The sequence below is a fragment of the Homo sapiens genome, chromosome 16 (assembly GCF_000001405.40).
Source record: "Homo sapiens chromosome 16, GRCh38.p14 Primary Assembly".
NCBI lineage: Eukaryota > Metazoa > Chordata > Mammalia > Primates > Hominidae > Homo > Homo sapiens.
Genome location: NC_000016.10, coordinates 975,760 through 1,001,901, shown reverse-complemented (window position 1 = coordinate 1,001,901; position 26,142 = coordinate 975,760). Strand labels below are relative to the sequence as shown.

At 62.5% G+C, this 26,142-nt stretch overlaps 2 protein-coding genes and 1 long non-coding RNA gene across 12 annotated transcripts in view, besides 1 other annotated feature; 2 read left to right on the top strand and 1 right to left on the bottom strand.

Annotated features, from left to right (window-relative positions):
• Positions 12,546-13,046: an enhancer, noted in NCBI's record as "H3K4me1 hESC enhancer chr16:1038856-1039356 (GRCh37/hg19 assembly coordinates)". NCBI's record gives its function as "activates a minimal SCP1, AML or CMV promoter by ChIP-STARR-seq in naive H9 embryonic stem cells {active_cell/tissue: H9 hESC(naive)}" and the evidence as "EXISTENCE:reporter gene assay evidence [ECO:0000049][PMID:30033119]".
• SOX8 (SRY-box transcription factor 8) lies at positions 14,923-20,132 on the bottom strand. Its single transcript, NM_014587.5, has 3 exons — positions 19,558-20,132; positions 17,942-18,174; positions 14,923-17,201 (listed from the first exon to the last, which is right to left on the bottom strand). Exons 1-3 carry the CDS (start codon positions 19,977-19,979, stop codon positions 16,516-16,518), a joined length of 1,341 nt encoding a protein of 446 aa, NP_055402.2. The 5' UTR covers positions 19,980-20,132; the 3' UTR covers positions 14,923-16,515.
• CEROX1 (cytoplasmic endogenous regulator of oxidative phosphorylation 1) lies at positions 20,289-26,141 on the top strand. 8 transcript variants are annotated; one of them, NR_164341.1, is made up of 5 exons: positions 20,289-20,757; positions 22,144-22,301; positions 22,792-22,877; positions 24,809-25,124; positions 25,502-26,141. It is a non-coding gene; the product is annotated as a cytoplasmic endogenous regulator of oxidative phosphorylation 1 (long non-coding RNA). The 8 variants fall into 8 exon arrangements; NR_036442.3 differs by having other exon boundaries at positions 24,809-26,141; NR_164342.1 differs by having other exon boundaries at positions 20,289-22,301.
• The window catches only part of LMF1 (lipase maturation factor 1), a 127,980-nt gene continuing 122,126 nt past the window's right edge, over positions 20,289-26,142 (top strand). For all 3 annotated transcript variants that reach the window (NM_001352019.2, NM_001352017.2, NM_001352018.2), the window contains exon 1: positions 20,289-20,757. The gene's annotated coding sequence lies outside the window, so the exon portion shown is untranslated. The remainder of the gene's footprint in view (positions 20,758-26,142) is intronic.

Here is a 26,142-nt window from a genome sequence, read left to right as displayed (position 1 = left end):
ATACAGGGCAGGTGGTGAGAACTTGAACTTCACCTCCACGGTGGCTTCCTCACGGGGCGATGTGAGGCTTGGGTGAGGTGACGCGGCATGTTTCAGGCTGAACGGTGGCCACAGCTGACCCTGGGAATCTGTGACTCTGGCTTGGTTGGGAAATGGAGTCTTTGCAGATGTAATTGATCAAAAGATCTTGCAGTGGGGTCATCCTGGGTTATCTGGGTGGGACCTAAATCCAGCGATGAGTGTCCTCATAGAAGCAGAGGAGGAGACAGACATGCAGAGGAGACAGCCGCGTGAAGCCGGGACAGAGGTTGGAGCGATGTGGCCACAAGCCAAGGGACACCTGGAGCCACCAGGAGCTGGAATAGGCAGGAAGGATCTTCCTCTGGAGTCTCATTGGGGAGCGTGGCCCTGCCCAAGCCTTGATCTCAGACTTTTGGCCTGCAGACCTGTGAGAGGACAGGTTTGTTTTCTAAACCACTCGGCTCATGGCACTTTACTTGGGCAGCCATGTGGCACTGCCACACCCCCGCAGCCAGGCCCTCAGCTCCAGGCATCTGGAGCTGCCTACCCCGCGGTAAATGCTGAGCTGAGGAGGCATCTCCAAGCCACCTGGGCCCCAGCTCTGGGAGGCCCTCAGCACTCCAGCCAGGTGCTCATAGCTGCCGTGTCCCGGGGGCACCGAGGCAGGGCCCTACCCCACTGAATGGGAGGGGCAGCACCTCCAGACCCGAAAGGCCAGCGCCTGGGGAGCTGAACAGGGGAGACCCACCGTCCACACGTCTGCCTGGGACTCTCCTGGCTTTAGCCCTGAACATCCCTCAGCTTGGGGACCCCTGGGCCTAACCCCGACAGGCTGATCCTCCAGTGGATACTCCGCAACCTCCAGGCTTCACTTCGCAGCCCCCATATCTGCCCCTCACACCCAGCAGTTTTTCCTAGAGGCGCCACTGGGCAGCCTGCACGTCGGGGCCCAGGATGCCGTGGCCAGCAGTGGTTGGGATTTCACGGACTTTAGACAGCTGCCAGTGTCAGGGTCCCGGGGGCTTTTCCCGGCCGCCACCCCCCCCCGCCAAATGGAGCCATCAGCTCCCTCTCCCCAGTCATGGAGACCGCACTGCTGTCCTTCCTTCCAGGCCAGGAGGAGCCCCCGCCATGTGATGAGCTGGGACGTGTGTCCACCCCGTGAAACCTGCTCTGCACGGCCTGGTCTTCAGGAGAGGAGCAACCCAGATGGGCTGAGTGAGGAGCCCAGGACCCACAGCCACTGCACAGAGCCGGGGGCACCTGTTCCCCGCACCCCCGCTCTGCTTGCCCTCCCACACCCCCAACCTGGCTTCCCACCGACTTTCCTGCTGGCATTCCAGGGAAAATCAAATCTCCTGGGGAGAAACGGCTTCTGTGTCCAAATGAGCTTTCCGAGTCCAGGTGCAAATGGTTTGGGGAGCTCCAGGAGCAAAAATACGGTTTCAATTTTCCAAAGCAGGCCGAGATCCCCGAGTTTAACCCACATGGCCGAGAAGCGAGGTTCCCACCCAGACCCAGGTCATCACCCAGCCGAGGCCACGGGGAGTGCGCTGTGCACATGGCATCGCCAGGGCCTGGGGCTCCTGGCTGGAGGTCAGGGAACTGGGGTCCCTGTCCCCGGTCCCATGGCCGACAGCACTTCTTCCTCTGGCCGCGGCTGGAGAACCAGCTGTCCAGGCCACTTGTCAAGGTCACTAAGAAACTTGGGTGGGAGAAGGAATTCATCCCAAACTCAGGAACCTTCCTGGGGTCGGGAGACACGGCGCTCAGTGACCTCCCAACTGGTACTTCCCAGGGACGGGACGCGGCCCTCACAGGGGGCGGCAGGTGCAGCCTCAGCTCTGCAGCTACCGGCCCCACCTCGGTGTTGTCTGAGGTTAAATGGAGTCCCAGCCTCGTGCATCTTGATTTGAGGGCCCTGAGCCTGCGGGCATCAGGGAGGGCCAGGGAAGCACCAGCAGGTGTGCCAAAGTGTGGGCACCCCCAGGGGGCAAAGGCCCTGCCACCCTCCCAGGCCAGGCTCTCAGAAGCCCCAGGGAGCCCACAGTGCCCGGACCTGCCTGGCCCCTGCTGGCTGAGCTGCCCCGGAAGAGCCTCCCTGCTCTTGGGAATCCCTGCAGGTCCACAGAGCCCTACCCCACATCGGCCTCTGACTGCTGGCTCATGACTGCTGGCTCATGACTGCTGGCTCCAGCAGCTCGAGGGGACCTGTCCTGAGCTCAGCCCAGGGGCCAGGACATGACTAGTGCGTCTCCAGACTCTGGCCCAAAACCCAGCCTCCATCCACCCCTCAGTGGCTTGAAGCAGCTCAGCTGGTCATGGGGGCTGGTGAGCAGCTCCGTGTGCCTGGCATGAGGCACCAGGGTCAGTTGTGACCTCACGGAGGAACAGCCTGGGGATGGGGAAACTGGGACCCACGCAGTCCCACCCCTCACAGTGATTACTGACAGTGACCATGGCCTTGAAGGAGACCATCAGAGGGTTCTGTCTGGGCCAGTTTAGGAGGGCTTCCAGGAGGAGGCAGCATGTGAGCCGAGAGAGGCATGGGCAGGAGAGGCAGGTTCAGGGCCAAGGACAGTCCAGGGCCCAGGGTAGTGGACACCACTCTCCCTCCTCCCAGGAAGAGAAATGTCCCCTTCAGGCAGCAGTTTCTAGAAAGATCTGGGTGGAGCCGGCAGGGACCACCAGAAGCTGCTCCACCGGGAGCTGCCCCACCTGGGGTCCCTCCACCTGTCCTCTACCACATGCCAGGGGCAGGCACGTGATCCGACTCGGTTCCCATCCGGCCCCTTGGGAACCAGCGAATGCCCGTGCCGGCTTGCTCCGTGGAACCAGCTGGCTTTCCCTCTTTCCCCCTTCCTCTTTCTTTCTGAAATCTGGATGCAGTTTGCTGCGTGGCCTCCCTCCTCAGTCCTGGCCAGGTGGTTTACCTGGGCTCCTATGCCACCTGTCAGTTTCCTCCCTGCCTGCTTCCCCACCAGCACCGGCTGCCCAGGCCTCCGGGCCTTCCTGCCGTCCTCCTTAGAGAGAAGAACCTCCTTGGGCCTTGGAGAACCCCCACGCTGGGTGTGCTTGGCCATCCGCACAAACGGGCTGGGCCGGGGCCCTCACGCTGCTGCTCGCTGGATTCCTTCTGCCCTGCACCTACCCAGGAGGCAGTCCCCAAATCTAGTTCACTGCTTCCAACTGCTCCCACTGTGTGGCACCTGGTGTGCACCTCCTGCCTGCTCCAGAGCTCCCAGGGCCTCCTGTGGGCACCGAGGGCACCTATGCCCTTCCCCTTTTCCCCCCATGGGTCCTGCGAGGCTGGCATCACTGCAGGTGAGGACCTGCCAGGGTCATGGCCTGGAACCCTGATCTGGAGTCTGAGCCCTGTCCAGGGGTTCTTGACTTGGGCCCAGCACTGCCCTGGCACCCAGCAGCCTTCACGCCTCCCGTGGGCCTCTCCAGCTGGCTCTGGGCGCCACCTGCCTGGTTCCAGCCACAGACTCCTCTCCTGCTGTCTGTCCCGCTGCCCTCTGACACGCCATGCAGGGGGCCCAGGGCACCCGTTTCCCAGACACAGTAACGGTGTCTCAGCCAGCTCCTGGCAGGCCTGGCCCGAGCCAGCCAGCAGGGACCACCAGGAGCTGCCCCAGCCAGGGTCCCTCCACCCATCCGACTCGAAGCAGAGCCCCTTCTCCCACAGCATTTTCAGAGCTTAGGCTGGGGGATCGGGGGTGCGTTTTGCAGACATGAGCTTCACAGATTTAAAATAAAGGAGGATTCGGGTGGGGACTCTCTGGGGGCTTCCTGCAAACCAGCCCCCGCGCAGGCTGTGTGGTAACCGAGGGCACCGTGGCAGTGAGGCAGGAGCAGTCGGCGCCCACACGCCGGATCTGCCGCACCCGCTGCCACCCACAGTCCTCTGGCGAGCTCTCAGATGGGAGGAACAGGTGACAGGGAGCCCTCCCCAGGGGAGCCGCGCCCCGAACCTCACAGGCGGGCGTGTGGAGCGGGAGGCGGGGGTGGGGTGAGGCCTCCAGACCCCATGGAAGATTGAAATGTCATCTGTCTCGTTTTCAAAGGAAGCTCAGCGGGCTCCATCCCCGCCTTTTGCAAGAAGATGACTCTTCTGCCAGATGGGAGGGGACGCCCACCTCCGCCACGCCAGCTTCTGTCTTCCTCCCGGTGACGGCACCACAGCTCCCCCGGCACCGCGTACATTCCTGAAGTGGTGAGGCCCGGGGACGGCCTGTGACCTGCCTCCTTCCCGGGAGGGGAGCTGGGCGGGTATTTAATGAAAGGAAATGCTCCAGCCGGCTGCTTCCTGCTCAGGTTGCCCAGCCTCCCTGCCGCTCCTGCCGCTGGCAACCTCCCGCGCTGGACACCGTGGAGGAGGCGGGCAGGCTCAGCACCCAGGGCCCCTGCAGGCACCGGCAGCTCTCAGAGATGCCTGGTCACTGGAGGTGCTTATAGGACCCGGCCTGGGCGGCCATCCGTTCCTGCAGACCCTCCCTCGGGGGCCCAGGGAGAAGCAGGGGCTGCTCTGAGCCACAGACCTTCCTCTTCCCTAAAATGCCTGAGGATGCTTCCCTGAAGGGGCCAGTGTGGGACTGGGGGCTGACAGGGCACAGGAGATGCTGCCTGGGTGTGTCCAGTGGGGAGACAGAGCTCTGGGGGTCTGCACCCAACAGCCTCCTCCCGTTCAGAGACAGCACGCTCCCTTCTCCTCCCTGAGAGGGAGGAAGCCCCATGCAGGGGTGGAGGTTTTGGTGTGGCCCCAGGCGTGCTGCGGCCTTGGCAGGGCAGCAGACCCTGGCCCCGTCCCCACCACTCCTCTTCCTGGGCTTGGGCCCCGACTGTGAGGGGTGGACTGTGGGTAAATCACCAAGAAGTGGAGTCAGGGGCCCTCTTCTGTTAAATGGGGTGAAAACTCGCACCAGCCCCATGAGCCCTCCATGCCTTTGTTGAGATCAAGCTGGAGGAGGACCAAGCACCCAGACGCCCTCCCACATATCATCACTGTCACCGTCACAGCCACCACTCCCTTCCTTTCCCCTTTGCCCCCGCCCCAGCCCTGACCCTGGGGTGCTCAGGGCCTCATTTCAGAACAGGTGAGCACCAAAGCCCTGACAGAGGCTAAGTCTCCTCTTTCTAACAGAATCTTCTTCCCTGGCCAAGACATCCCCTGGTACTTAGAGAGATGAGAAACTCACTGTGCAGGGGAATCGGGTGGCTGCGAGCCGCCTCACCTGCTCCCTTCCTCTTCACTCCTGCAGGTGCCCCCACGATGCCTCGGAAAGTAACCATGGCCGCCCTCATGGCAGCTCACCTGTTTTGGGGTATTTTATTCGCATCTGCAGAGTAGAGAGGAACATTCCAGAATGTGAAGACTTCAGAACGTGGACCCTGGGTTCTGGAGAGCAGGTGGCCTGACTTTTAGCTGGGAGCTGGGGGGATACACCCACAACTCAGTGGGAGGACCCCCAGCCGCTCTGGAGACCTGGCTTTCCAGTAGGTCTGCATAGCTCTGAATTGATTTTGGAAGAAACCGCCCTGAACTGTTTTTCTCACTGCCCTGTCTGGAAAAAAAAAACATCACCTTGTAACTTTATGTAAATGAGCCACATAGCATGCTCCTTTGCAGGAGGGGCTCAGCATGCCTGCCTGGTTCCTCCTCGTTACTGAGCTGGATCTCAGAATGGGAAAAGACCATAGTTTATCTACCTGCTCTTGAGGGGTGTGTGGAAAGTTCCCTGTTTGAGATCTACAAAGAACCTTCTCTCCTGGTGAACACAAGCGTGCATTTCACACGGGTGGACTTCCAGCAGCAGAATTGCTGGGTCATAGGTCACTGGCATGCCAGCTCTTGGTGGGACCACAAACCATCTTTGGAGTGGTTGTGCAATAGCAATACAAGCTTCTATCAGGAGGATGAGGCCCCGCTTGCCCATGTCCTCACCAGGACTGGATGTCTTCCCTCTGAACTTCAGCCATCCTAGTGGGTGCTGCATCTTTTAGAGAAATGAGCTTGACACATACTTCTACCATGTCTTGATAACTCAAGGTCACAGTCATTAGCATTAACCACAGTCCTAATGATGTACTCAAGCTGAGCAGGCAGGTGTCCCATGTCATGCACTCAGGGCCCCCCAGTTAGCAATGACTCCACCTGCACAGAACCCACAATAGCTGCCAGATGACAGATCTGCCTAGGGCTCCTGAGGTCTCTGCCATGCTTACCTCCCTGTTAGCTACCCCTTTGCCCTTCCTGCCAGTGGGTCTCCTGTAGAAATTGTTCTCACCATTGGAGCAATTTAAAGAGAGCGATGATGACCCTGAGCTTCCTGCTGCTGCCCAGCCTGTTTCCGTTACCACTGAGCCTTCATTTGGTTCAATGCTCTGTTCAATGCTCTGAAATATCTCAGAGACTTGAATCTGTTCTGCCTGGAGCAAACATGCCCTGCTTCACCTTCATTCATTCATTCACTCATTCACTGATTTGTTCATTCAGCAAATACTCATTGAGTATCTGGTCTGTGTCCAGGATAATTTAGGTTGTGGGTGAAGGCCAAGGACAGTTACGGCCCCAAGCTTGTTGAGCTCGTAAGGCCACCCAGGGACACATGGCTCATGTTGTGAGCCATGGCTCATGTTCTACCCCCACTCCACCATCCACACCACAAAGCATGTTCTTCTCCACAGATGGGCACGGGCAGTGTGGAACCTTCCATACCTGCCCACTAGATGATCACCCATCCTGCTTCTCCCAGGACTGAGGGGCTTCCCAGGACATGGGACTTTCACTGCAGAAACTGGAAATGTCCAGGCAATCCAGGATGAGTTTGGCACCCTACTGCTCACTGAGTCCTGGGACCCACAGCTGTGAGAGGGCTGCATATGGAACCGGTGGTTGTGCCTGCCTCAGGCATGTCTCAGACCTGTCCCAGGTGTCTCCTAAGCACTACCACTCACTCAGGTTCAGAGAGAAAAGAGCAAGCTGGAGCCATCCAGGTAGGATACTTCAGACTGAGTGAAGAAATGAAGGATGATGCTGTCTAACTGAATGAGAGATGAGCTGCTCAGAGACAAGACTCATTGGAAACATCTATCCTTGTGAACACAAGACTCACCAGATCCCTGCTCAAGACTCAGTGGAAACATCTGAAGGGCCCCATTTCCTCAGAAAGCCTCCACTGACCACAAGGCAGGTTGGGTCCCTGTACTGGTTCTTATGGTCCCCTGTATGTGTCCTGTTTTGCCCTTTCCTGATGTATTGAGGGAGCTCAGGGCTGAGTCTATCTCCTTCTCCTTTAAAGCTCAGCACCTACTACATAACAGTCACTGAATGAATTAATGAATGAATGAAGGAGTGGATGGATGGGTGGATGGGTAGGTGGGTGGGTGGATGAACAGATGGATGAATGAGGGGGTGGGTGAGTGGATGGATGTATGGTTGCAGTGGATAATAAATGGATGAATGGGTGGGTGGGTGGGTGGATAAATGGATGGATGGATGGGTGAGTGGCTGGTGGTTGGATGGATGGATGGGCAGGTGGGCGGTGGGTGGATGAATGGGTGCATGAGTGGATTGATGGGTGGGTGGATGGATGGGTGGGTGGGTGGGTGAGTGGATGGATGGGTGGGTGGGTGCGTGAGTGTGTAGTTGGGTAGGTGAATGGATGGATGAGTAGGTGAAAGGATGGATGGGTGGATGGATGGATGGATAAATGGGTGGGTGGATGGGCGAGTGGGTGGATGGATGGATAGGTGGGTGGGTGGGTAGGTGGGTGGATGAATGGGTGGGAGGGTGGATGGATGGGTGGGTGGATGGATGGGGGTGTGGATGGGTGAGTGGGTGGTGGATGGGTGCATGGATGGTTGGATGGGTGAGTGGATGGATGCGTGGGTGGATGGGTGAGTAGGTGGGTGGGTGTGTGGGTAAATGGGTGGGTGAGTGGATGGATGGGGGTGGACGTGTGAGTGGGTGGATGGACAGGTGCATGGATGGTTGGATGGGTGAGTGGATGGATAGGTGTGTGGATGGGTGAGTGAGTGGGTGGACGGATGGGTGGGTGGATGGGTGAGTGGGTAAATGGGTGGGTGCATGGATGGATGGATGGGTGAGTAAATGGGTGGGTGAGTGGATGGATGGGAGGGTGGATGGGTGAGTGGGTGGATGGATGGGTGCATGGATGGTTGGATGGGTGAGTGGATGGATAGGTGCATGGATGGGTGAGTGGGTGGGTGGGTGGGTGAGTGGGTAAATGGGTGGGTGCATGGATGGATGGATGGGTGAGTGGATGGATGGGTGGGTGGATGGGTGAGTGGGTGGATGGAGGATGGGAGGTAGGTGAATGGGCAGTTGGGTGGATGGGCAGGTGTATGGAGTATATGTCACCATTGTCCAGCAGGCAGACTTTTTGCTGATCATATGCAGGTGTGGGTCCTGTCCCTGTAGCTCAATGACAACTTCAGGTGATATGTGTTGAGTAGCTGTTTCTAACCAAACCCTGTGTAAGCACCTGACCCACCAGCATCTCCTGTGTTCCTGAGCGCCATTGCCGGGGAGGTGGGCACCATTGTCACCATTTTGCAGGTGGGCTACTGAGGCCAGAGAGGCCAGCAGCTTGTCTAAAGCCGTACACACCAGGGGGTTTTTGGGGAGCCAAGTGTCTCACTCCTTTCTCTGTCTGAACCCTAGACGCATGATGCCACACCTTAGGGTGAACTTTGACCCTTCCTTGACACCCTTTTTCCTCTCAGGGGAAAAGGTACAAGGCATGGGTTTCTAGAGCCAGTCCCCCAGGCCCTCTGACCACCTCTGTCCACCCCCTCCTTTTTTTTCCCCCTGAGATGGAGTCTCACTCTATCGCCCAGGCTGGAGTGCGGTGCAGTGGCATGGTCTTGGCTCACTGCAACCTCCACCTCCTGGGTTCAAGCAATTCTCCTGCCTCAGCCCCCCAAGTAGCTGGGACTATAGGCATGCCCCACCACGCCCAGATTATTTTTGTATTTTTAGTAGAGACAGGGTTTCACCATATTGGCCAGGCTGGTCTCGAACTCCTGACCTCAAGATCTGCCCACCTTGGCCTCCCAAAGTGCTGGGATTACAGGCGTGAGCTACTATGCCCAGCCTGTCCACCTCTTCCTTTAGCAAACAAAATCCCTGGGCGACCAGAGTGACCCCAGAAATTGGAGGAGGGCAGAGACCCCGTCTTTGGAGGTGATGTGGAGGGTGTCCAGGCCCGCCCTTGTCTCACAGGCGCACACCCTGCTGGAGGCCAAGTGTCGGACATGAAGGTGACGCTGCCCCATGCTGTCCAGACACCCAGCAATGCTCAGCACCCGGAAACAGGACCGGCCTCTGCTCTGCGTGGAGCCCACCCGGACAGTCCATCTCAGCCCCTTCTACCCAGGGACCCCCAGGCCCCTGCCCGCATGCAGGAACTGTCCTCTGGGCAGAGCAGCCCCCTCCCCATGAGGGTCTCGCAGGCCCAGGACTCGCGTCCAGCAGCTCCTGGACATGGCCTTGCTGCCCGGCCAGGGCTAGTGTCCGTGAACAGAGAATAGTGTGTGTGAGCGGCTCTGTCATCTGTCACTTGGGGCTGCCTGTGTCCCTCTCCAGGACCTCAGTGCCGATCGCAGGAAAGGATGTTGGCACGGCCCCCGGTGGGACAGGCCAGCCACGTTAGGGGATGCTGCACGACAAAGCCCACGGCGGTGGTGTCACATGAATGTCACCTGCTCTTCACACCCAGCCTAGGAAGGGCTGTTGACTGGAGGCTGACATACCCAGCGAGGCCTCTGACGTCCCTGTCACCCCCTGGGGTGGGAGAGTCCCCTCTTCCAGCCTGTCTGGGGCCTTGCCCCTCCCTACAGCCCAGCTCGGGAAACAAATGCTCCTTCCAGCAGCAGCAGAGAGCTGTAGAGCCGGGGCTCCGGGCAGCTTCTGAATCCAGCTCCCAGGCCACAGATCACAGGGACAGGACGGGAGCCTCCCACACAGACGCCAGGCAGCAGGACCCCGGGTATGTTCCTTCACCAGCCTCTCCCTCCACCCCCCTAGCTGGGTGGCTCTGATCTGGATGCTTCCTGATCACGGGGAAATCTGCAGACCCACGAGGAGCTTGAAGCCTCTGAGTGGGAGAACTGGGTCTGCGGGGGGGGTGGGGGGGGGGGTTGGGGGGGACCCTTTTTCCCGGTGACGTCTAAGTAACCATGGTGGCAGCAGCTGACGCTGGCCCAGCCTGGCTCCGGGGAGGGCTTCTCCAGGTCCTTTGAGACTCCCCTCCCCTCTCCTCGCCTCTTCTCCCTCTCTTCCCCACACCCCTGCTGCCTGCAGTGTGCAGAGCCCCCCCGACCACAACCCACCGCCATGTCTGTTCCCAAGCTGGGAAGTCACATCCAAAGGACAGAACCACCTGCCCAAGTCCCCTCCACTTCTGAGAACCACCTGCCCAAGTCCCCTCCACGTCTGAGAACCACCTGCCCAAGTCCCCTCCACATCTGAACACTCATTGCTGTGTCCGGACGCAGAAATTCACACTCGGATTTTGTCCGGCATTCCCACTCCCTGCCCTGCTTGGAGAGGCAGGACCGCAGGTCTGCCGGCCCCAACGGCAGCGCCACAGTGCCCGGCACAGAGGCCTGCTGGTCGCGCATACAAAGCACCCGCCGGCCATTATCATTCCGGAGCCGGCCAGAGCCTCCCGGCTGCATCTCATCGGTCATTCAGCAGCCCGTAATGACTTGTCAGTTCCTTGCCCTGCCATTTTCTGTCTAATTAATTCTTTTATTGTGCACCGGATAAAGAAAGACAAAGGCCTCGCCGGCAATAACGATTCATTAAAATGCAGCGCCTTCGCCCGTGCTCCTGGCCCAGCACCAGCCCGGCTGCTCCGCCCCACTGTGGGCACAGCCGCCTGCGCCCCTTAACCCTTTGTGGAGTCTCCTGGGCTGGGTGCCCGGCCTTTGCCAGGGCCCTGGGGGAGCAGGGTTTATGCAGCCGCCAGCCGCCCTGGGGGAGAAGCCGGGCCTGGGCCCATCTGGGCACTGCCAAGGAAGGGGGTCCTGGGCATCTTACACTTGTCCATGGCAGACCTCAGTGGGCCTGGGCCCGGGAATCCCGGACGGTCCCCTGGCCAGAGGGCCAACCTAGGCTGGGGCAAGTCCTCCAGTCCTGGCCGTAGGCCCATGGGGAAGGCGGGGGCCGGGGCAGGCAGGGAGGACCATCTGCCACACACAGGACCCAGGGTCCTGGGACAAGTCTGCTTGAGATTTGACCAACAAGAGGGGCAGGACCAGCGTACTGGCCGCAGCCGCACCAAGCCCAGCTCAGTTATCCCTGGGGCAGCTCGGCGGAGCTCTCACCGCCTCGTGGTCATGGGGGAAACTGAGGCACGGGAGGTCACCTGGCAAGCAGCTCGTCCTGCCTTCCCGCGGGGTGGCGGTGTGGATGCCCCAGACACAGCAGGAGGCAGCAAGAGGTGCGCTCACTGGGTCTGAGTCCCCGGGGTCTCGTGAGGCCGGCCCTTTCTTCGCCAGTTTCACTTTGATTTTCTTGCTGCCAAACCCGCTTTATTTTGCAGATAAGCAAAAGGGTCATCGCATGGCCCGAGGTGGTAATAATACCACCAACAGCACAACAGTACGTCAGGCACCTGGGGGGCACTGCTGGGGGAAGGTCCTGATCTCACCAAGTTCCCCAGAACTCCAGGGTCATTCCCATCGTGCAGGTGAGGAAGCCACCTGCCCCAGAGCCAGTGAGAAGCAGCAGAAGACACAGGGCTTGGCCCTACACTGCTCTGCTCCAGGACGGCCTACCTGCGCACCCACGTGCCCCACCCCTCTCCCCTGAGGGCTCCTGCCCCCCTGGGAGCCCCACAGCTCCCACAGCCCATCCTGGAGACACAGTCCATGCTTCCTCTAGAACACAGGGGACACCAGAATGAGAGGGGACGCCGGGGACGTTAGATGATGCCTCGGAATGGCAGATGGGAGGTGGAGGGACAGCCAGCTCCCCCTTCCCTTCCCTTCCCCCAGCTCTTGGGAATACTGGGCTTCGCAGGTGGTAGGGAGCCTGGGTGGGTCCCTGCAGCTCCCAGGCAGCCGAGGGCCAGTGAGTAATCAGGAGGCCACAGCCCCCTTGTTTGCAGTGGCCTCAGGACTGGGCCGGCAGAGCCAGGCTGTGGGGAGCAGAGGTGGGGCCTCTGGTCCCAGGAAAGAGAAGCAGATGTCGTCACTGGCAGGGCCTGGGCAGTGGGCGATCTGAGCCTCTGGCTTCCATCACCTGCCTGATGCCCCTGCAGTTCTGCAGGAAGGGCCCGGCTGAGGCTTGAGTGCAGCGCTGGGTCCTGCAGGAAGGGCCTGGCTGAGGCTTGAGTGCAGCGCTGGGTCCTGCCGGAAGGGCCCGACTGAAGCTTGGGGGCAGCGCTGGGCTGCATCTCCTTTCCTCAGGGGTGCTTCTTTGCCTGAGTTGCTGGGGGGCCACCCATCTCCTTCATCTGGGGTCTACATTGCCCCGGAGGGATTCAAACCAAGTGCTGGCTTCGCTGCCCGAGACTGGGTCCTGACTGGCGCCGGTCTGCTGTGAACCCGCTGGAATGTGCCCCTGCGGCCGTCCACACAGGTGTCCAGGGCTTGTCTGGAGTCTGGTGGTTATGGTGTCACTGCCCGGAAGCACGACCCCCAAGCCTCCAGCCGCAGCCCCAGCAGGTGTGGAGTAGCTAGAGATGGTGTCAAGAAAGGTCCTCCGTCCTGGGTTGGGGAGGCAAGACTGGGGTCCAGACAGCAGGCCAGGACCCCGGGTCCATGACACCCCGGACTTGATGGTCCTCTGACTGTGGCCCAACGCCACAGCAGACCAGCGGGTCCCCGAATCTCACTGCCCAGGAGAGGCGGGCAAATGGGACCTCAGGCCCCTCCCAGGCAGCTGCTGGGAGGACACAGGCCCTCTTGGGAAGGAACAGCCTCGCAGCTGTGAACTCACGCCCACACCGATAACCTGCTCCTAAGGCCGCTTCTGTCCCAGGAAGACCAGAGGGGCTTTTCCAGCCTATCAGAATCCAGGGTGGATCACCAATGCCATTTCCCCTTTTGGGGCTGAACAGGGCATTCTGTTCGGCTGAGATCAGAGGCAATGCTCTCTGTGGAGGATGAGGACGTGGAAAATGAGGAACTCTCCCGGCCGGCCTGGCCTGGGACACGACGCTTTCAGGAGGACCGGGCGCAGGGAAGCTTGGGCTTGGGGCGAGGCCAGCTTGGAAACAACGTCATCAGCCTGGTGTTCTTGGAGGACTTGTCTCCAGCAAAACCCCCACCAGCCGGAAACAGGGGCAAAGCGGCCTGACCCCCAAGGCACCGACTCTGGCCCCCTCCTCCGTGCAGCACCTGGGGAGGGGGACTGGCACCTGGAGACTCCCAGGGCCAGCATCCAGTGCCGAAGGGGGAAGCCACAAGCCCTGCCAGAGGGGGACCCCCAGAGAGGAGGGATGGGAGGGGCAGGGAGGGACAAAGAGCGGGGCTGTGCAGGGGGAGGAGCTGTCCATGCACCCCTCACCCTGGCAGGGTGTGGACGCGCCAGGACGGTGTGGCACTCCCTGACCTTCACGAAACTCAGATACTGGAAAACCCACAGGAACGCACCCGGGACCCAGGCACACCCGGGACGGGGACATGAGGTTTTCCTCCTCTAGGGCACACACCAGTGAGACGCAGGGCCCGGGACCCCAGGAGTTAACTCACAGCAGCCCTGCCAAGTCCACACAAAACTGGCAGGGCCTCCCAGTCCCTGGGAACCTGGCAAGCCCCAAAGCGTGTCCCGGGGCAGCCCAGGGGCAGAGCTGGCTTTGCCGGCTAGCCGGACGCTGGGTTCTCCCCAGCTGGGGTGTCAATGTGTGAGCTTTGAGGGACGTGTGGGCCTGGACAGCCCTTGGCTGGACGCAGGACGGGATGGGCCTGTTCCACAGAGGCGACGGATGTCTGTGAACCTGGCTTTCGGCAGCCCCCTCCCAGCCTCCTCCTCGCCCGTGGGGCTTGGCACACCCCACCCCCAAGGAACCGTCATAAATCCGCACAGCCCCTCCCCCTGCTGTTCTTGGTAGGCCCTGGAACGGGATCCCCACTGTGGGGTGAGGGGCAGGGCGGCCAGGCGGGCAAGGAGACGGGGTGGGTGGCCCCCTACCCAGGCCACCGTGTTAAAATTGTAGATGCGGCTGTCTTTCGAATTTGGGTTCCTGTGAGCAGTGCATCCTCTGCCACCCCCGACCAAGATGCCTTGAGAAGCCGGGTGTCTGCACCCCAGGGGTGGCCCCCAGCCCCGAGACGCCCCCGCACCAGCCTCAGGTGCCCGGGAGACCTGGCAAAGGGACCGGCTGCCCCTCACTGGCTGTCACTCCCACAGCCATTTTCTCCCTAGAAACTTTCCTCCAACCAGACAGCTCTGCCGGCTCCTGCGGGGCGCTTTCATCCGCTCCCAGCCTGGCTCCATGCCAAGGCCCGAAAGATGCCGTCGGCTTCCTGGCATTGCACAGCCACCCAGAAACCAGCTCTGGGATTCGCCTGGGAGGAAAAACACAGCCCCGAATCGGGCCCGTCCAGACCCATTTTGCCTACCAAGGAGGCCCTCCAGGAAGGAAGACGAGGAGCTCGGTTCCCAGAGGCCGCGACGGGATTCGCGAAGGGCATGGCTGTTTCCATTCTGACTGAAGCCTGCTGACGCCTGGTGGCACGACGGGCTGCCCCTGCCGCTCGGGGGTCCGGGTGGGCTCGCGGCCGCCCTCCTTGCCGCCCAGCGTGGAGGGCACTGGGGTGAGGCCGGCGGCCGCGTGGCACGGCCTGATCCTGCCTTTGCCGGACATCTTTACCCCGGGAGCCCCAGGCTCACACAAAGCAACACACAAAATGCAGCCCACGTCCATAAAAAGCACTTTGTTTAATTTTATCAAATCGATCTGTACAAAAGTTAGCGTTGCTTGGTCAGAAAGGAGTGAAGGCAGCAGGGGAGTGAGGGTGCGTCCTCCGAACGCGGTGCCAAGGGAGACGCTGCATGAAACGGGTCTGCGACGGCTCCCGGCCCCCACCCCCACCCCCAGAGAAATAGAAGCAGAGGCATTATCTTTTTTTTCTACAAAAAAGTAGGAAAAGTAGAAAAAGTACAAAGAAGCAACTTCTCGGCTGTGTTTAAGTTTACAAAGTTTAAAGGCACAAGTTTCCGTGAAGTAGGCGCTATTGTATGCTCTATGCTCAGCACACAGGGGAAGCAGTGCAGGTGAATCAGGTATGACTCGTCTAGAACTGAGGCCCTAACGACGTTTAGTGGAGAAGGTTTAGTTTCACAGCTTGGTAGGTGGCACTGGTGCCTGCGAGCCAAGATCACTTCTGAAGCCACCACTTTCCAGGAATTCCTGTGTCCTGTGTCCTACCACATGGCACAGTCATGGGCAAGGACCCAGGAATTCCTGTGTCCTATGTGTCCTACCACGTGGCACAGTCGGGGACAGGGACGGAGTCCTGCTTCCCAAACCCCAAACTGGTACTGGGTGCTGGGGCACCCCAACCTGATCAGAGATGTCACAAGGCAGGTCCCTTCTCCTCCCTCGGGTTTTCGGTTGCCAAGCTCGAGGCATGAGGGGCCCAGTCCTCCCAGGGACCTTGGGACCTCCGGGCCCTCCAGGGCGGCCTCCCATAAGCCGAGCAACGAGCAACGTGATGCCGGCCAACAGCTGCAACTCCACCTCCTGCCTGCCCTCAAGGGAAGCTTCCCAGCTTCCGTTTTGTCTTAAATTCTACTCTTTGCCCGAATTACCTCATTAATTAAAGATAAAATAACACAGAACATAAATACATCTTTAACAGCTTTCAGAAGAAACACATTTAAGCTTCAAAAATAAAAATTATCAAAAACATAAAAATAAAAGAGAGATGTGTTCATCACAGCCAGCCCTCGCGTGAGCGCACTCTGCCAGCAAGGAGACACCTCAGATCTGACAGGCAGGTCCCGGAGATGCTCGAGTAGACTCATCCCAGTCTGCGGACAGACACCCCGGATCCCGGACAGCCCGTGCAGCCGTTGTCGAGGGAATGTGGCCTTGAGTGCAGGGGCTCTCGGCGCCAAGACCGGCCTGGACCTCACAGCGCCCTGCAAGGCCCCTGCCACCCCCTCCTTTGGTCCTTGGGCTGTGCTGCCGTTTCTCCTCTACCGAGATGCAAAGCGAAGGTGCTGGTGCCGCCAGTCCTCACGGAAGAGGGACCAAACGGCAGCCCTTCTTTGTGGAATAATCCCACCACCTCAAAAAGAAAGATAGAAGGGAGAGGGAGCTGGTCCGTCGTCGGCAGAGGTGTGGCCATCTGGAGGCCGAGGGCCACGGGCAGCAAGCGTGTTTCCCTGCAGACTTCAGCAGGCACTTGGAGCTCAGCCACTGGGGCCCCTCCCGCCCTGGTCACACACACTGGGCCGGGACAAGGCTGCCCCCTGACGCCTGCGAGTCCCTCCCCGCGGCTGGGCCCTCAGGGCCTGGTCAGGGTGGTGTACACCGGCTGGTCCCAGTGACTGGTGGGGCTGTGGGCGGGCGGCAGGGCCAGGCCGTTGAGCAGGGGTGAGGCGTAGGGCCGGCGCGGCGAGTGGAAGCAGGGGTACTGGTAGAGGCCGGGTGCGTAGCCAGGGTAGGCACCATAGTAGCTGGAGGCCTGCAGGTCGCCATAGTCGCCCTGTGAGCCGGCGAAGGGGCCGGCGGGGGCGGCCGGGGTGGCGCTGGACTGGCCGCTGCAGGAACCGTAGTCGGGCGAGCCTCGGGGCTGGTCGCCGTAGTGGCCGGGGCTCGGCTGCTCCGTCTTGATGTGCGGCCGTGGGGGACCCGTCTCGGTGGGCGACGCGGAGGCCGACGGGGCACTCTTGTGGGCCCACACGGGGGACGCCCCGGCGTGGAAGTAGGCGCCCCCATAGGCCTGGCCCGGCTCGGGTGGGGCGGGGCCGCCCAGGGGCAGGTACTGGTCGAACTCGTGGACGTCGAAGGCGTCCATGGTGCCCATGACCTCGCTGCTGAGCTCCGAGATGTCCACGTTGCTGAAGTCGATGTTCTGGCGCCCGCTGTCCACCGGCCGGCGTCCCTCCAGCTTCAGCTCCGGCTTGGCGCCCGCCTGCTGCAGCTCCGTCTTGGGGGTGGTGGGCGGGGTGGGCGGCCCGTGGGTCTGCCCTGGGGACAGGAGAGCAGGCTTCAGGGATGAATGCCCCTTCTGTGGGGCGGGTGGGGCCGGCCAGGCTGGAAGGGGAGGGACGCCCGCGCTAACTGCCAGGGGGATCAACGGCTTTTTGTTTCTTTACATTTCCCAGAAATTCCAGCAAAGTCAGACCTAGACCTCACTCCTCGGCCGAGAAAATTCCATGAAGCGCTGTGCTATGAGAAGACCCGAGGCCCCTCCCAGAGACCAAGGTGGGGGGAAGAAGCCGACAGGCCCAGCCTGGCCAGAGCTGGGGTTTACAGGGCGCTGGGGGACCACACAGACCCTGTTCCTCCCCGGGCCAGCCAAGCACTCTGAGGCTGGCGGGCGTCAGCCAGCCTGACCGAGGCCCCGGCAGGACTCCACCCTGTCAGTCTGGCCCTGAAGCTGGGGCTGCTGAGTGCCGTGTGGGCAGCAGCTCGGTGTGGGAAGAGGAGCCCGCATTGGACTGAGTCTTGCTGAAAACACCACCTCTCGGGGTCCCTGCCAAGCAAAGCTGTCAGCCCCTCAGCACTCAAGGTGGCTAAGCAGGTCCCTCGTGCACCAAAAACAGGGGCGGCCGGGGCCTTGGGAGCTTTTTCAGGGAACCCGGGGAAGGCCCGGTTCTCTCGAGGGCGCCTGCCCCCCTCCACCATCATGCACCCTTCTCAGCCAGAAACCCCACAGCTGCCTCCCATACAGGGACCCTCAGATATGCGGGGGGCCTGGAGCCCACCTGTGTGGTCGCCATGGTGGTGCCCATCTCCAAGCCCTGCTTCAGCCTTGTACACGGCACCGCCGCCAGGGTGGGGTCCCAGCTCCGCGCCCGAGTCGGAGTCGCTGTGGCCGGCTTTGGCGCTCTTCCTGCGCCGTGGCTGGTACTTGTAGTCGGGGTGGTCCTTCTTGTGCTGCACGCGAAGGCGCTCTGCCTCCTCCACGAAGGGCCGCTTCTCGCTCTCGCTCAGCAAGCTGCAGCACAGGGCAGAGGCAGGGATGGCCAGGGCGCCCACTGTGCCCTCGGCGCAGGCACACACCACAGGGGGAACCGGCAGCAGAGGCCGGGGCCAGGAGGCTCTGACCAGGGAAACCCGCCTGCCGTGCGCTCCGGAGCCTCCCGTGGCACCAGGCAGTACACTCCTCTGGGAGAACCGGCCGGCGCCTGTTTGGGAAGGTTGGTATGCTTACGACAGCCAAAGAAGAACAAGCCCCACGCCTCCCATCTTCCTCCTTCTATTTCCCCCTATTCCGGGCCTGCTGTTCCCTCCCTCTGGGGCTTTCTAAGGGAGGCGGGGGAGGCGGGCAGGACCCAGCCGGCGGTGGACAAAAGCGAGGCTTCCCGGGAACGGTGCCGGCCTTCGGCGGGCAGCTGGGCTGCTGTCCCTCCATTCCCAGACACCCAGAAGCCCTGGCAGGGCCCAGGCGCCCGTCCTCACTGAGCCACAGGACACACTCCTTGGGACTCTTCCCGAGGCTCACCTCCAACCGCCTGTGCGGCAGGACTTGGGGGAGCAGGGGCCTGCCGTCCACAGCGCCCCGTGGCTGCGCCCTAGATCCAGACAGAAGGCAGGAGGTGCAAATACGCAAGCTCCAAGCTCCCTTCTTCCAGGTGAGGAGCAGGATACGGGAACCAGAGCCCCAAACCAAGAGAACCATTTGAAACCCAACCAGAGGACACTCGGTGGGGGCGGCCTGTCCTGAGCAACAAGTTCTTCACTCTGCAGTCCTAATTTCTGGAAAACTGACCGGCCCCACCACGCCAAGGCGTGCACACGGCGCACCCCGTCATCTCCACTCCTGCCCTCCCTGCTTCGGACCGAGGGTGTCCAGGAGAGGGAGAAACTGCGGGGAGGGTACTCGCAGGCAAACCTGCTGCCCACCCATCCGCCTGCCGCACTCCCTCCCCATGGGTGGTCCAGGAGCTAGAGGAGCTGAGCCCTTTCTAAGGAGGGAGCACCTCCAGAGAGCCGCATGCAACTTGCTGTCGTGCCGGGCGTGCCTCCCGGGGCTGGGGCCACTCGCAACGGCTGGAGGGCACGTCGGGGTGCCAGCCATGGCCCTCCGCAGGGTGTTCCCCGCCAGGAGAACTGGCTCCAGAGCGCACCCGCCACGAGGGTGCACACCCCAGGCGCTGCCCTCCGCGGATCCCGACTCCCATAGCTGGCGCCGGACCCCGGCTGGCCAGAGGATGTTTTTCCACTGGGACCCGCCCTGACACCCGCCCGGGGTGCAGAGCCCGGAGCCTGCGTGTGGCCACCACCTCCGCGAGCTCTGCGCCCTCCAGGCCCCCGCTCGCAGTCCGAGACCAGGGGCGGCCAAGGTCCCGAACCCCGCCCCCGGGGCGCCGGCACTCACCGCCACAGCTTGCCCAGCGTCTTGCTGAGCTCGGCGTTGTGCAGGTGCGGGTACTGGTCGGCCAGCTTGCGGCGCGCCGCCTGCGCCCACACCATGAATGCGTTCATGGGCCGCTTCACATGCGGCTTGGCTTTGAGCGCGCCGCCGCCGCCGCCGCGCACCGGCATGGGCACCAGACTCCAGTCGTAGCCCTTGAGCACCTGCGACACGGCGTCGCGGATGCAGGCCGGGAAGCGCTCGTCCGCCGCCTCCGCCGGGTCGCCCCGGGCGCCCCCCACCGCGACCCCCGCGCGGCCCAGGCCCTCGGAGCCGGCGGGAGACGGCGGCGCGTCCGAGTCCGAGTCCTCCACGTGCGACATGGAGCTGGCGGTGCCGGACGGGCTGCAGGGCGGCTGGGAGCGGGCCTCGCTCATGTCCAGCATCGGGGCCGCGCGCGGAGGGGCGCGCACAGGAGACGCGCACCGGGGCCGGCGCCCGGGGCTGCCCTGCGGTCGCTCCGGGACCCGAGGTCGCCGCGCGGTGGCCCCGACCCTCGCCCCTGCCGCCGCCGCCGCCGCCGCCGAGGCTCGGGTCCCGCTGCGGGACCCGCAACAAGTTTCTTTAAGCGGCGGCCCCGCGGCCCCGCCCCGCGCCCGGCTACCCATTGGCGGAGCGCGCCCCGATCCCCCGGAGGCGGAGCCCGGCCGCCCCCGCCCCCCCACCCATAAAGAAAGCTCCGCGGCTCTCGCCGCGCCCCCGCCTGCCCCGCCCGGCGCCGCACCACGTGGGCCAGGCGCCCCACGCCTGGAGCTCCCCTCTCTGGAGCCCCGGGAAAGGAAGCGGGGCAGGGAGGCCGGGTGGGAGCAGGGGGGTCTCCGGCGCTTCCTCTCCTCTGCGGGCGCCGCGCGGCTCCTGAGAGTCCGCCCCCCGTCCTGACGCTCAGCTAGGAAGCGGGTCCTCGGGCCCCTCCCCCGACACACACACACACACACACACACACACACACACACACACACACTCTCTCTCTCTCTCTCTCTCTCTCTCTCTCTCTCTCTCTCTCTCACACACACACACACACACACAGCCCGTCTCGCGCCTGAGGTCTCGCCCGCAGGCCGGTGGCGCGGGGTCAGCTGCTGCCTGCGGTCCAGGACAGGGTCGGTTCCGCCGCGCAGCGCCCAGGCCCAGCTCGTCCAGAGTCTGCGGACAGCGCACGTCCAGGTAACGCGCTTCAAGGGGCCGCGGCTCGGAGCTGGGGGACCCCGGGCCGCCCTGCCCATACGAGTGCGAGCGTGGAGAGCGCGGGCGGGGGCGCGGTCCCGGGGGCCGGCCAGCTGGAGGGGGCGGGAGCGCTGGGCGGGGCCTGCGCTGACCCCGGCGCTGAGTCCCTGGGGCCGCCGGGCGGATGGCGTGGCCGGACGCGGGGGCCCCGGGCCTTCCGGGCGTGACCTAGGGCTCGGGGGCGGGGAGGCCCCTCCGGCGGGGCGGCCCTGGGTGGTCCGGCAGAGGCGGAGGCCGCTCCGAGCCTGTGAGCCCTGGGCGCCTGCGGAGGCGGGGAGAGGGCGGGGTGTGCCGCCCTGGTGGGGACCGCGGGGTCGGAGAGGGGACATTGCCCCCCCCGAGGCGAACGTCCAACCGCGGGTCCGGGTCCCCGCCCAAGGCCGCCCCGCGAGGTGGCCTCGGCCCGGCCGTCCCCGAGGGTGGCTCGGATCCTTTCAACCAGCGCGCTGGAGGCGAAGGGGCTGCGCCATTCCGGGTCAGGCAGCCAACGCGGGACACGCGCGTCTCCGAGCTTGCGGCCCGCGAAACCCGGGTGACCTACCGCGCCGGTGCCCTCAAAGCCCCCACGCCCGGGCCGGTGGCCGCTGCAGCCACTGAGCCACGCGGTCTCCCCGGCCCGGTCGGCAGAAGGAGCTGGTCCGTTACTAGAAAAGTCCAGATGCAAAGTCGGGGGTCGTGCTGCCGCTTCCTGCCAGCGCACCGCACCCACCTGGGGCCGCCACCGACCGCACAGGACGCGCCTCCTACCCCCTGTTCTGGCCCGGCCGAGAGCTGGTGCCCCCAGCGGCCGCCCGCCCCCGTCCGCAGACCCCGGGGCCCTTGCTGCTTTGCATTGGGAACAACCGGAGCCAGGCCCGGAGCTGAGGGGGCCAGGGCCTTTGGAGGAAGCATTGGCCTCCAGGCTGAAGAGCAAGGGCCGTGTCACCTGCCCGGAGGGCGGTCTCATCTCTGCAGCCAGGTCAGAGGAAGCAGCGGTGGGGAGACGGAGTGCGCGAGTTGGGAGGCTCCACGCATCGTAGGTGGAGAGCTGGCTGCCAGCCTGGCCTGCCCTCTCTTCCCCGTCCCACCATCTCGCTTGGCTCCGGCACCTGCCTGGGAAGACCCACACCTCCGTCTGCAGTGCCTCTTCCCCCTGGAGGCCCTGCCCTCCGCTCGGGGTCCCCGCATCCTTCCGTGGCCCTCAGAGCATCGCCTGGGGCGCCCGCGGAACTCATCTGTTAGGCCTGGGATGCAGGCAGGCAGAAGTGGGGGTTTAAGTGGAAGCAGTGAGGGTGGGGGTCCGGTCCAAACTGTGCCACCTTCCACCCCCTGCCCCTGGGAGAGCAGACATCGCCCACTCGGGCTCACAGTGCCATCCGGGTGAGGACCTCCGTGGAGAGCTCTCTTTGCCAAAGAAAAGCAGTTGCATTAGGTCTGCGAGCAGGCAGGGTGGCCTCTTCCTGGCTCCCCATCCACCAAGGAAGCTTCAAGTCCCTGGGACACAGGTGGGGAACTCCAGCACCCCTGGAGGAAGGGAGACTGAGGTTGGGGAGTGGCATCCAGGCCCTGACTCTGGGGCACGGTGGTCTGTGCAACTGAGACCCTGCCTCAGGCTCCAACAGCGCCTGCTCCTTTCCCCAGGTTGCAGTGATCACCAGGGGAGGTGCTGGGCGTGCAGGCTGCCACAGGAGGGGTGGGGAGGTGGGGAGTCTCTGTGGCGGGGTGGTGGGGGCCTAGGCCAGTCAGCTGAGGACGTGTTGGTGCACTCCCGGGAGGGCGGTATGTGGGTGAGGATCCCCATGCAGAGTGGTGCCCACAAACCCCCCTTCCAGAGTCATCTCTGGTCCACCTTGAAGTCCCCAGGAAAATGACCTCGTCCTCCGCGGGTGTGAGCCACTAGGCCTGAGAGGACGCCGGGACGGAGCTTTCAGAGAGGGAGGTGTCGGGATGGCTTGAGGGTCACCAGGTATTAATTAAGCACTTGCTGTGTGCCAGGCACTTTCCCACACAGGATGGAGCCGGGCCACCCTCACAGCTCCTGCCCTGCAGACGCTGGCCTTGTGGAGGGAGGCAGGCAGCAGGTAACTCCAAAAGCACCTCTCAGAGGCGGGGACTTCAGGAAGGATGGTCTGGGAAAGCATCTTTGGTGTCATTTAAGCTGAGCCCTGAAGCTTCTGATCTCCTGCAGGGAGAGGCCAGCGTGTTCCCTGGGGAAGCTAGAGCAGAGTGTCTGATGACAAGAGATGGACCCGGGGGTGGAGAGTGGAGGGGCAGCCATCAGAGCCACCTCTGAGTCCACCTGATGGGCCCATGTCTTCATCCAGGGGGGAGCTGCACACACACCCTCCTCCCCTGTCTCCCATCCCTGCCCCACCCCTTCAGCTGGGGCCTGCTCCGCCGTGTCTGCATGGCCCCACCCACCCTGACCTCACCACCTGCTAGTGGGCCTTGCAGTTTCAGGGGGAGTGTACGTTTCAAGTATACCCTGATGGGGGAATCTGGACCAGGGCTGTCCCCTGGGCCGTGAGTGCCGGGCGTGGAGAGCTGGTGTAGATGACATTTGTAGCTCCACATGCCCTGGCCTGGGCGCCAAGGACAGCCGCAGAGAAGAATGTGGGTGGACAGGCTCTGCTGCCCATGAGATGGTGCAGGGATGGCCTGGGGGATGCTTCCAGATGAGAGACCACCCCACCCTACCCGTGGCTCCTAGGGATGGCGACCCCGGAGGCGCGTGTGTTCATGTGTGTGTGTGGTGTGTGTTTGTATGGTATGTAATGTGTGATATGTGTATGGGATGTATGTATGGGGTGTGTTTATGGTGTGTGTGGTGCGTGTATAGTGTGTATGGTGCGTGTATAGTGCGTATGGTGTGTATGGTGTGTGGTGTGTATGTGTATGATGTGTGTGATGTATGTGTGTGGGGTGCGTGTATGGTGTGTGGTGTGTGTGTGTGTGTATGATGTATGTGTGTGGTGTGGTGTGTGTATGGTGTGTGGTGTGTGTGTGTCCGTGTGTGTTTGGTGTGGTGTATGTGTGCAGGGTGTGGGTGTGTTTGTGTGTGTGTGATGTGTGGTGTGCGTGTGTATGATGTGTGTGTGTGGTGTGTGTGTGTGCGTGTATGTGTGTGGTGGGGTGTGTGTATGGTGTGTGGTGTGTGTGCGTGTGTATGATGTATGTGTGTGGTATGTGTGTGGTGTGTGTGTTTAGTGTGTGGTGTATGTGTGCAGGGTGTGGGTGTGTTTGTGATGTGTGGTGTGCATGTGTATGGTGTGTGTGTGTGTGTGGTGTGTGTTGGGCCCAGGGCACGAGGAGGAAGCAGGGCTGCCCAGGGAAATGCCACCCTGGAGAGGCCCCTGTCCCTCCCTCTCCGTCCTTCCCTGTGCCCCTCCGTCCCTCCCTGCCCGTCCTCCCCGTCCCCCTCCATCCACCCCCAACCCGGCCCTCCTCCTGCGGCAGGCAGCCCATCTTTTGTGCGGCCTCTGAGAAGCACAGGGAGGGCCCGGCGGGCGTGAACCCGCTGGCAGCCGGTGTGTGCACAGCCTTGGCCCGGGCCTCCCAGCCCCTGCATCCCGAGCACCCGTGGGGCAGTTGGCAGCGTCCTGGCACGGCCTGGGAGATTAATTGGTGCTTTTAATGACGGCTGGTCTGGCAGAGACAGAGTGACTACAGGCTGGGCCGGCGCAGGCTGTGAGCAGAGGCTGGGAAAGGCCCCGCCCCCGGACGGGTCTCCAGGGGAGAGGAGGGGTTCGCAGGACCCCTCTCAAGACCCCCTTCGGGAGTCAGCTTCTTGGCCACGCACACTTGGAGCTCTGGGCTGGGTTGCAGCTCCCTGTACTTCACTGTCTCGGGTGCTGGCAGTGCCAGCTGGGGCACGAGTTCCGGTTTGGGTCAAGGCTGGCCTGTTGGCTGGGGTGGCGTCTGCCTGAGAACTGGCCTTGTCTGTGCCTTAAGCTTCCTGGCGCTCACAGGGCAGTGGAAAACCACTCAGTGAGTCTTTCTTGGCACCTTGCAGGAGCAGTGCTTTCTGGGCCTCTGTAGCCAGAGCTGGCCCTGCTGCAGCTTACGTCTGCCTGCAGCCCAGACGTCCTCCTGGTCCTCCTGATGCCCCCGACCTCCACGGAGGACGAGCATTTCCAGCCCAGCCCTCCCCATCTTCACCTCGCACTCCCCTGACACACTGGGAGCCTCCTGATCCGTGAACCCGCGCTGGCGGGAGTAGCTACTGACCGCTGGGGACCCCTGCCCAGGCTGTTCGCATGTGGAAAGGATTCAGGGAGCAGGCGATGCCCAAAGCGTGGAGACCAGCACTGCTCTCTCCCCAGTGACAGGTGCACGCCCAGATCACGGATGTGTCGGGAACAGCTGTGCTCCTGCTGCTCAGCGTCCGTCACTCCAGGCTGGGAGCGGGTCCCCAAGCTTCTGGCTGGGCCTATCCGTCTCCACTCTCAGTGTGGGGGTGGGGGGCGCCAACAGCACGCATTTGCTCTCTGCACTTCTCGTCTGATAATGGGCAGAGGGTCCTTCTGCAGCCCCAAAACATCCCTAGGCAGGAGCCCTGGGGCCCCAAGCAGCCAGGGAGGTGAGCACCAAGGACCTCCCAGAGAGCGTCACCTTCCGTCGAGGGAGGCCCAGCCTGGGGGCGGTGTCTGAGACTTGGAATCAACGCTTCCGTTGGTGGCAGTAAATCCTGTCCCTAACCCTGCAGTACAGCTGTGCCGTGTACAGGAGGGTGCTGTCTGACGCCAGACACCTGGACTACAGATCGCAGCCTGATTCCTGGTCATTGCTCCACTGAACCCCAGACCCCAGCCTCGTTCTGGGCCCTCATCCCCTAGATCCAGGGACCCCAGCCCCATTTCAGCCCTTGGGCCCTTGTAGGATGCGAGGCCCTGGGCCCCAGCCCCCAGCCCATCCGTGGCCCAGGCACTGGGGGGCTGAGGTCCTCTGAGAAGGGACACAGGGCCTGGGGGGCTCTCTCAGCCCATCAGCAGGAGAGGACTGACTCCAGAAAAATCAGCGTTTGTACCCACTCAGGCTGCCAAGACCTGTGTCCGTCCTTCCAAGCTCAACCTTCAGAGTTCATGAGGCCCCTTGCCCAGAATGTCCACAGAGTTCATGAGGCCCCTTGCCCGGAATGTCCACATTTGAAACCTCCCAACACCGAGCCCCATTTCAAGTATAACCAGGAGGGAAAATGGTGCTTGAAATAAGCATGCCACAAAGGAAAACCTGCTTTCTCGAAATGGGCCCTGGCCGCCCAGGCCCTGACCTCCCCGGCCAGGATGGAACGTTCCAGAGACCCATTAGTGCCAAAGGCAAATGAAAACACACCCTGTGAAAATGTCT